The sequence below is a fragment of the Homo sapiens genome, chromosome 2, assembly GCF_000001405.40.
Source record: "Homo sapiens chromosome 2, GRCh38.p14 Primary Assembly".
In the NCBI taxonomy this organism is placed as follows: domain Eukaryota; kingdom Metazoa; phylum Chordata; class Mammalia; order Primates; family Hominidae; genus Homo; species Homo sapiens.
Window position 1 is genome coordinate 8440064 of NC_000002.12, and position 10650 is coordinate 8450713.

At 42.5% G+C, this 10650-nt stretch overlaps 2 annotated features.

Annotated features, from left to right (window-relative positions):
- Positions 338 to 837: an enhancer, noted in NCBI's record as "H3K4me1 hESC enhancer chr2:8580531-8581030 (GRCh37/hg19 assembly coordinates)". NCBI's record gives its function as "activates a minimal SCP1, AML or CMV promoter by ChIP-STARR-seq in primed H9 embryonic stem cells {active_cell/tissue: H9 hESC(primed)}" and the evidence as "EXISTENCE:reporter gene assay evidence [ECO:0000049][PMID:30033119]".
- Positions 7037 to 8236: an enhancer, noted in NCBI's record as "P300/CBP strongly-dependent group 1 enhancer chr2:8587230-8588429 (GRCh37/hg19 assembly coordinates)". NCBI's record gives its function as "activates an origin of replication core promoter dependent on BRD2, BRD4, P300/CBP, MED14 and CDK7 cofactors, with strong dependence on P300/CBP, by STARR-seq in HCT116 cells {active_cell/tissue: HCT116}" and the evidence as "EXISTENCE:reporter gene assay evidence [ECO:0000049][PMID:35650434]".

The window sequence follows — 10650 nt, forward strand, 5'->3', positions numbered from 1 at the left end:
CGTCTGGCCCTAGAAAATCCCGACAGACCCTAGAGGATGACAATGGACATCTGCAACTCGATCAGGCAGTTGCTGTTTGTAACTGGTGGGGAGCAGCTTTCCTGGTGCAGGTGAGCTTGGTGGCCTGTGGCCCAGGAATGCAGCCCATACCGGGTGAATGCATTCTTTTCCACTCTTATCAGGAAGGAGAACCAGAACAGGCTGCGTTCATGTGGGACACCTGGCAGGCTGCTTGGGAGAAGAAAGCAAGATCAGAAGATTGAAGCGAGCTCATGGGAGCAGCACATCATGGGTGCTGGGCATGGGTGCAGAGCGTGTTCACACCCGCCAGAGCGCAAGCACCACTGGGAAGAACTAAGCATCCAAGTGTGCAACTGGCCAGCTGCTGCCAGCCCCTATCACTGCCACCATGGTGCTGACACAACAGGCAATTTGTTGACTAGAATCAAATCATCATTCACTTACAGCCTGACCTTTCCTGCCCAAGGGCTTCAGCCAGCTCCAATGCCCAAGGGCCCATGGCATGTTTGATTTGCCAGCACATGATCCCACAAAACATTGCATCAGACCAAGTGTCCGACCTTGCAACAGAGGTGGCACAGCATGGGATCATGAAATCCGTGGCCATCCTTTTGGGTCCTACCACCATCCAGAAAGCTGCTGGCCTGATAAAACCATGGAACTGTCTTTGAAAGATGTAGCTGAGGCTGGGCACAGTGGCTCACACCTGTAATGCCAGCACTTTGGGAGGTGGAGGTGGGCAGATCACTCGTGGTCAGGAGTTCAAGACCAGCCTGGCCAACATGGTGAAACTCCATCTCTACTAAAAAATACAAAATACATGGTGAAACTCCATCTCCACTAAAAAATACAAAAAAAAAAGCCAGGCATGGTGGTGCATACCTGTAATCCCAGCTGCTTGGGAGGCTGAAGCAAGAGAACTGCTTCAACACAGGAGGCAGAGGTTGCAGTGAGCTGAGATTGCGCCACTGCACTCCAGCCTGGGTGACAGAGTGAGACTCCATCTAAAAAAAAAAAAAAAAAACGTAGCTGAAACACCAGCTTGGAGCTGATCCACTGCAAAGATGGCACACGGCAAAATCAATGATCATCAAATAGTACTGTGTCCCCAGCAGGTAGAACACGTGGATTCCGAAACAATGGGCTGGATGCAGGTGTGACCACACCATTACTCCCACTCCAGGAATCTGTGCTCCCAAAAGGGGCCCATGTCTGCACTTTGGGCCCCTTGCAGCAAGCATCCAGTAGGCAAGGAAAGGAACTGCCAACCTGGGGAATCGCAGGGGGATTCTCAGGAGGATGAAGCTACTGCACAATGAAGCTACTGACTCCATTCGGCACTCAGGAGATCCATCAAGGTGTCGCCTTGGACTCTTTCATCCATATTTGATGGTGAATGGACAAGAGCAGCAGCCAAAGCCAAAGGAGGACGTGACGACCAAGGGCTCGGGCTCTCAGGCGTGGAAGTCTGGACCACCCAACCAGGTAGGCCACCTAGAAATCGAGGTTAGAGATGGAGAATTGTCAGCACAGAGGCAGTGGTTGACATGGGGAGAGATTACAGGAGCCTCAGAACACAGTGAGGAGACGCTGGCACGGAGGATCAGTAGGAAGAGGCGATCGCATTGATCAAGCTAATAAGAGTCCGAAACAAGCAATGCTGTTGTGGGAATGGCCCAGCCTATCACACCATCAACATCAATAACAACAAAAAAGTTAACGACCCACAGGACTTGCAATCGTGAATGAAGAAGTGTGATGCTGCTTTGTCTCTGTCAATGTTTACGCGACTGGACAAATTCACTCATTCCTTGATTATCATTCATCTCTTCGTATTGGGGTGCTTTGCTGCCTTCTCCCCTCAATGATAAAAGAGGATAAAATTCAGTTAATACGTGCATTTTCATTACAAGACAACTAAAGAAATTACCCTTATTTTACTTGATATGTTTTTACACTCTGAGGAATTGGGATAATTTGGGAAAAGTGGCAATTGTGGGAGGTCCCACACCTGCCTGCTCTCTGCTCTAGCACCTTTGGGGAAGCACATCTGTCCCCAAGAACTGCCCACGTGCATGGAGCCTGCAGGCAGCCCTCCAGCCAGCGGGAGACAGTTCTGCTTTAGAGACCCACACATTTGCAAAGGAAACCACATCAACTCCCTTTGCTCACCAACATAGTTCTTCATTCATAGATTCAACCCAAAACCATCAGGTATTTGAAGAAAATAAGTAAATAAATTGTTAGAAGTCTAGATAAAGAAACAGGACAACTGACCCTGGTGAAAAGAGGAATAATTATTGGACAGAAAACAACTTTAAAAAGATGTAACTGGCATGGTCAGAGAGACTGGCTATGCTGTTATAGCCATCCCCAAAGAACTCACTGCTTGGGGAAAGGAGGAAGCAGAGAACAAGAAAGTACCTTGGCAATTTAGAATCTATTTGTGAATATTAAACATTCAGTATACAGGTTAATTAAAATTTGAACACAGCTAAAGACCAAGTTACTAAAGACCAACAGCACAAGCTGCAAAAGACAGAGAGAAAGAAAATATGAAAGGAAAATGAAAATGTAGAGAAGCTAAACCCAGAAGGTTCAATATCACCTAATCTATCTCCAGAAGCAGATAACAAAGTGCCAGGAAGGATGAGTTAAAGGGCGTTTAAAAAAGACCTACATATGTCCTGTTAACATTTCAGAACCCCAAGGCTAAAATAACAACTGCAAATACTTCTAGAAGGAAAAAAGAAACCTATAAAGAATAAGAAGTAACTCGGCCTCAGATTTATCAGTAGAATGTAATATTAGAAGACAAAGGAATAAAGCATTCAAAAATTATAAGGGAAAATTATTTTGAAACTAAAATTACATTCCAAACTATCAATCAAGTGGGGCAGTGGAAAATAAAGATATTTTAAGAGTTGTAAGACTCAGAAAGTTTTACTTCCCTTTCTGGGAAAAAAAAAAAAAAAATCACAGAGCAGTAAATACTCACCAGGTACTTTTCTTAGCACTTTTCATGTATTAAAACTCCTTGAATCTTCACATCAACACTATGGCATTATTAATATCCTAATTTTACAGATGAGAAAATGTGGCACAGAGAGGGTTACACTCTGTCAAAATGAAGAAGAAGCTCAAGGAAAACGATGCTATGCAATTTAACTCATGGTGAACCACGGAGGAGATCAATGATAAGAAATCTGAGATTGACAGCTATACCCTGTGCCTAGAAAGCAAGTGACCAACTAGAAGAGAAAGTAGGAGGGATTGGAGAAAAAGGCCTTCAAGACAGAAGTGAATCCAATTACATATATTATTTGATTAAGAACCTGGAAAGTCTAAAAGATGCGTATGTCTCTTCTCTCAGTGGTTAGAAAAAACAAACAAACAAACAGGAAGCAAGAAATACCAAGGTGGGGGGTAGAGGAGATAGCTCCATAAAACATGCATGGACCAAATATGAAGCAGATTTAAAGGTGGCCTAGTTTTGAGGAATGGTTGTAGTTTTAAGAAAAGTAAAAATACGGCCGGGCGCAGTGGTTCACGCCTGTAATTCCAGCACTTTGGGAGGCCGAGGCGGGCGGATCATGAGGTCAGGAGATGGAGACCATCCTGGCTAACACGGTGAAACCCATTCTCTACTAAAAATAAAAAACAAATTATCCAGGTGTGGTGGCGGGCGTCTGTAGTCCCAGTTACTAGGGAGGCTGAGGCAGGAGAATGGCGTGAACCTGGGAGGCGGAGGTTGCAGCGAGCTGAGACCGCACCACTGCACTCCAGCCTGGGTGACAGAGTGAGACTCCATCTCAAAAAAAAAAAAAAAGTAAAGTAAAAATACATTTAATCTTGACCCTTGGAAGATTATCCTTCAAATGGCACTGTTCAGTGACATAAAAGTACTTTTGTTTTGCAGTGAAAATTTTTAAATAATCATAATAAAAGAAATGCTATATTTTAACTTTTTATTTTTATCATAGATTTTAGAAGCGTAGAAAGTTTAATTATAGTTACTGTAAAACATACACATATTTTAAATCTTAATGATGTAAAAATAATGGCATAGCCAGCCAAAAAGGAAAGAGAGGTAGGATGTATAGGGATGCTAATTTTCTCACCAACAGATAACATCTACAGTTGATGGAACTACAACACCAAAGGTACAATCCATTAAAGAAATAATTAATAAGGTAGACTTCATTAAAATTTTAAAAACTCTTGTTCTGCAAAAGATACTGTCAAGACAATGAGAAGACAAGTCAGTCTTGGGAAAAAACACATCTGCAAAAGACATGTCTGATAAAGGACTGTTATCCAAAATATACAAAGAACTCTTAAAACTCAACAAGAAAGCAAGCAGCCCAGTTGAAAAACAGATAAAAGATGTGGACACTTCACCAAAGAAGATATACAGCTGGTAAGTAAGCATATAACATCACGCGTCACTAGGGAATTCCAAATTAAAACAATGAGATACCCGTCGTAATAGGTAATAACAATAATGTCCACTATTAGAATGGTGCAGATCTAAAGCTGAAGGGTCAAGAAATAGAGAAGCATATTACTTAAAGTTTACAGATAGATTTCACAATAAATATAATCAGCAAGAATCAACATATGAAAGAGAGATGGTAGAGTACGGAAGGGCCCTACACTCTTTATCTTTCCTAGTGAGGAGTTAATATACACTTTCCAAAGCTGATTGATCAAGAATAAGGTAAAAATAATTTGAGATGAAGTTATGATGATAATGTCTAAAACAATTGAAAGCAAAAGTACTTATCTTTGGGGCATGGGTGTCCAAGAATGGGGAGATGTCTAGAAAGAGACTTATTTTGTATCCTTCTGTGCTGCTTGGATTTTTTTTAATAGTGTGCATGTAGTGTTTTTATAATTTAAAAAGCAATTTTTAATCATCAGTAATTTTTCTGTTAGGGAAGAAAACAGCTGAAGCATGAAGTTTATGGAAATTTTTTCTAGAAGCTTAATAGATGTCAATAACAAAGCATTGCTGAAAATAATGAATTTTTGAATTATGAAATGTCTTTAAGTTTTTCTCAAATTGCAAATCTCCCTGAGGGTGTTCCTCCAAGTCCTACTTATCAGACATACTACTAAGTTTAAATTATAAAATTCTTACCTGTAATTGAAGCCAGCTGCAACCTTTTTGACAAGGACTAATTGCCGATAATGATTTAAGTGCTGCAAATTCACATGCCACAATTGTTTTAAATAGGGGAACCTCTCACAGCTTTCTCTGAAAAGAACTGTTAATCTTTGCTGCTGACTTATCAAATCCTTCAGTCACCTGTTTGCCATCATTTTCACGAGCTGATAACGTGTTTATTCGAGTCCTAATGTGCAGGTGGAGGAATAAAGGTCTCATTTGATGGCACTGGAATTTCATCTAACATTTCCACATGGAAAGAGCTGGCACAAGCCTCAGGTTTGGCTTAGCAGAGAAAGACAATAAAGGCATGTATTTTTTTTTTAATTTGAAGCAAATGAAAAGTGAGCATTTATTTAATGTCAATAACTTTAGATGACAGAGCTGGGTAAAAGCCATGACCTGTAATGTCCCTTTAGCCTGCTGCAAATCAAGGATCCCTGGTGCTGAACAACAGCCAGGGGGCTGCTACTGGGGATGGCTCCTCCTCGCCCCGCCTCCCTGTCTCCTTTCACTGCATCTGATCTTTTCTTCTCTTCCTCAGCATTGTATCAGTTCCCCTTGGCTGCTCATTGCTGGTTTTGGAGGCACTAAATTGTTACAACCTCTGCTTGTTGGGTAAGGAGGAGTTTGGCAGCATATATTCAAAAGTTAACACAACCTTTCTCTTTGCAATTCTACCACTAAGGATTTATCTAAAGAAAATAATGGATCGGCCTGGCTCGGTGGCTCACTACTGTAATCCCAGCACTTTGGGAGGCCGAGGTGGGCTGATCACCTGAGGTCGGGAGTTCGAGACCAGCCTGACCAACAAGGAGAAACCCTGTCTCTACTAAAAATACAAAATTAGCCAGGCATGGTGGTACATGCCTGTAATCCCAGCTATTCAGGAGGCTGAGGCAGGAGAATTGCTTGAAACCGGGAGGTGGAAGTTGCAGTGAGCTGAGATCGTGCCATTGCACTCCAGCCTGGACAACAAGAGCAAAACTCTGTCTCAAAAAAAAAAAGAAAAAGAAAATAAGAATGGATCATGTGCAAATTTCTAGCTGCAATGATTTCAATTAGAGTATTTTTTATAATGCTGGGACACTGGGAACAATCTAAAGGGTCAGCCATAGGGGGCTGGTCTGATGCCTGAGAGCTCAGACACGGGAAGGATGTGCATCCACTCAGGATATCTGGGCTCCATGGCCTGGAAAACTGTTGCCAGAAAGGGGTCCCAATCCAGACCCCAAGAGAGGGGGATCTCGTGTAAGAAAAAATTTGAGGCGAGTCCATAAAGTAAAGCAAACGCAAGTTTATTTAAAAAGTAAAGGAATAAAAGAAGGGTGGGATATGTAAGGGAACTCCATAGGCAGAGCAGCCCGAGGGCTGCTGGTTGCCCATTTTTATGGTTATTTCTTGATGATATGCTAAACAAGGGGTGGATTATTCATGCCTCCCCTTTTTGGACCAGATAGGGTAACTTCCTGACATTGCCACGGCATTTGTAAACTGTCATGGCGCTGGTGGGAGTGTAGCAGTGAGGACGACCAGAGATCACTCTCATCACCATCTTGGTTTTGGTGCGTTTTGGCCAGCTTCTTTACTGCAACTTGTTTTATCAGCAAGGTCTTTGTGACCTGTATCTTGTGCCAAATTCCTATCTCATCCTGTGACTTAGAATGCCTTAACCTTCTGGGAATGCAGCCCAGTATGTCTCAGCCACATTTTACCCAGCTCCTATTCAAGATGGAGTTGCTCTGGTTCAAACACCTCTGACACTTACAAAGGTATGACCTTTAGCCAATTGCTTAAGCACTGTCAGGCTCAAATTCCTCCTCTGTCAAATGGGAACAACAGCACCTAGCTCACCTGATCACTGGGGAATTAAAAGGTCTCAGGAACACAAAACACTCCACATAGTGCCTGGTCTGTTGTCAATATTTGATAAATGCCACTTAATGATAATAGTGATTATAATAAGGCTAGCAGTAATATTAAACCATAACAATCATGTTGAAGGGGAAGATGGACTGAGGGAAAGAAATATCCCTGTGGGAATTCAAGTCAGGAAACAAAAAAGTAGCTGTTCTTGAGCTCGTTCAAGTAATACATGCAAAATAAAAGACAAATTATCAAAGTAAAAGGTTAATGGGGATTATTCCTGAGTGGTAGAATTATGCTGATTTTCTTTTCTTTTGGATTCTCTGTATGTAAAACTTTCTACAAAGAAAGTATTTTACTTTACTAATTAAGAGATAATTTTTTTTTTTAATTCCTCCCTTAGGTGACCGCAGTTCACAGAATTTCAGAACCGGAAGACACTTTAAGTACCATCTACTCCAACCTCATCACTCTACTGATGAAGAACCAGAGCATCCAGAATGGAGTGCTGTCCCCACTGGATCCTGCAGGGAAGGACCCCCAGAGCCCAGGGGTCCCCACAGCCTCACAATGTAATTGGAATTAGACTCAAGGCACAGTCATCTGGGCATCTCCAAGGACTAGATCTTGGTTCTCTCCTTTTATCCCAGATATGTGTCATAGTGCCTGGCACATGGTAGGATGGCAGTAAATATTTGTTGAATGAATACACATATGAATATGAGTCACTTGTGCTCCCATAAGCGTTAGAAGACAAGCAAACAGCTCTGAAAGCAGCAGTTAGTCTCCTGGGGGTATCTGAGAAAGCTTCCTAGGAAGGAAATAGCAAAATCAGGTCCCAGAAGGTGAGTTCAAGTGAGTTCTGTCAGAAGCGTCTGAACCAGAGTGACTCCATCTTGAATACAGGCTGGGTAAAGTGAGGCTGAGACCTGCTGGGCTGCATTCCCAGAAGGTTAGGCATTCTAAGTCACAGGATGAGACAGAAGGGTGGCACAAGACACAAGTCACAAAGACCCCACTGATAAAACAGGATGTGGTAAAGAAGCTGGCCGAAACCCACCAAAACCAAGACAGTCATCCTCAATGCTCATTATATGCCATTATAAAGCATCGCATGCTAAAAGACACTCCCACCAGTGCCATGACCATTTACAAATGCCATGGCAATGTCTGGAAGTTACCCTACATGGTCCAAAGGGAAGAGGAACCCTCAGTTTCAGGAAATCCCCACCACTTTCCAGGAAAACTCACCAACAATCCATTGTTTCCCATATGATCAAGAAATAACTATTAAAATCGCCAACCAGCAGCCCTCAGGGCTACTCTGTCTAGGGTACTCCATTCTTTTATTTCTTTGCTTCTCTGATAAACTGCTTTCACTTTACTCTGTGGACTTGCCCCAAATTATTTCTTGCATAGGATCCAAGAACCCTCTCTTGGGGTCTAGATCAGGACCCCTTTCCGGTAACAGTTCCAGACCAAGCAAACAGCCATGGAATGAAAACACACTTGGAGTTTGGGGAAGAGGCTACCATCCTCATCTGGCAAAACCTAAGGTCTGTGCAGGAAAAGGTGCATGCAAAGAAGCAGGAAAGGAGAAGTGGCCAGAATGGACTTCCATTCTTTCATTTATTTCTAGGCCACCTTCCAGGCCAGCTGGTTATTTGTGAGAATGACATAAAATACATTGCTAATAGCTGAAAATGGTTTAATGTTTTTGTTTTTTTTCTGTGCAGGTAACATTTTCATTTTCACCCCCAGGGCCTCTCTGACTTCACCCCTCCTCAGGAGAGAATTGCAGGTAATTAGGGCTGTCAGCGGGAGGGATCTCAGGGTGGGATCAAATCACCTCCCCTGACAGCTGACTTCCCCACCTGCCAACAGCCCACCAGGGAGACCATAAAAGATAACCCCACACACGCCCTGCCAGCAAGCACCCAACCCAGCCCAGTCCCACCCTCTCCAACAAACATGCTCCGGGGGACAATTTTATGATGGATTTTTTTCATTTAAAGCTAATCACATTATCCATTTCATCTGCTCTTCTGTACCTCTTACAATTAAAGAGAGGTTGAAAGAGATTTAAAAAAAAATACAGCCACTGATTTCCCAAGACTTGATTTTTCACCTCTAGTCCCCGTTCGTAAGCGCTTAAGACGTTACACTTTGTTCTGCTGGAACCCATTATTTCCCTGGGAGACTCGATGTCTGCTTTGATAGGAGCAATTTATCACCCTGGCGAAATCATGCTACTGTTTGGAAGGCAGGACCAGGATTTATGAATCCTTTTTTACTGAGAATGAATTTAATTCCCAGGGGTGGAAGTGGTATTAAAAGATTCAGCCTGCTGCACCTGTGGCATCTGAGAAGGTGGCTTCCAATATGAGTGGCACGTTCACCCCTGTCCTGTGCTATGAAAGCCTTCACCTTCCTAATGGAGGAACCTTGATGAGGGCATGAAATTCAATTCAGTTGGGTGTGAAACAATGGTTGTACTTAATAATGAATTCAAAGCAATAGAATTGACTTGCACAGCATTTTTACTCTATTTTTAGAGTGTATGAGTTTTTAAACTATTATTTATTGAAGATACTTTTTCAAAATATCCATTTTTAAAAATTTTTAAAGCACCAAGCCAAATTATTGATCTATTGGGGCCAATTCCTTCTTGCAATTTATAGTGTCCAGTTTCCTTCCATGTGTTATAGCCCAGGTAAGACGCCACAGGGAGCACACTGGAATCACCTGGGGAGCTTGACAAGCTATTGATGCCTGGATCCAACTCCAAAAGGGTTTAAGACAATGTCTAGGTACAGTCTCAGCATCAGGAATTTTGTTTAAGCTTCCCAGGTGATTCTAATGTATTATCGAGTTTGAGAACCACTGCTCTAAGATAATAAGTTTGGTATTTTTGAAACGAGCATAGCAGTTTCAAATTAAACATCCTTCCTGCAAATGGTCATCAATTTTAAATGAACCAAGCATGACTTCCTACACTATTTCATTGATCTAGTTGGTAACTGGAGAAATATGTCTTACATCATCATGAACAAATGTACAGTTTCCATAATGAATTGTCTTTACTGTCCTTGAGCTTGTGTGCAAGTCAACAATTCTTGCTAACAGCGGTACTTTTGCTCTATGGATTATTTCCAACCCATCAAACAACTTCCTTGCATGACTTCAATCTCATGCATTACTATTGGATATTAATTCATTGTGCCCAATAATGGTCACTCTTTTGTGCCCGCACCTCTACCCATATTCTCTGCTCCTCACTCATCGCCCACCCACCCATCCATCTAACCTTCCTCCACTCCGCCCTTTGTTTGGCACTGGTATTACAATGACGAATGAGACAGTCCCTGCCTCAAAGGAGCTCACAATCTGGTGCGGAAAGCAGACAAGTCAACAGAAACCATAGGAAAGCACGCCTATGCCATGCAAGAAGTGAGCTGAGGGTCGCAGGGAGCACCAAGAGGGGCCTCTCATGCTGCAGGGGGCAGGGAAGACGGCCGTCCCCATCACAAGAAGTACTGCCATTTGCACAGTGTCACTTTTTGTGTCACTGAACTCTTAAATTATTTATTGAT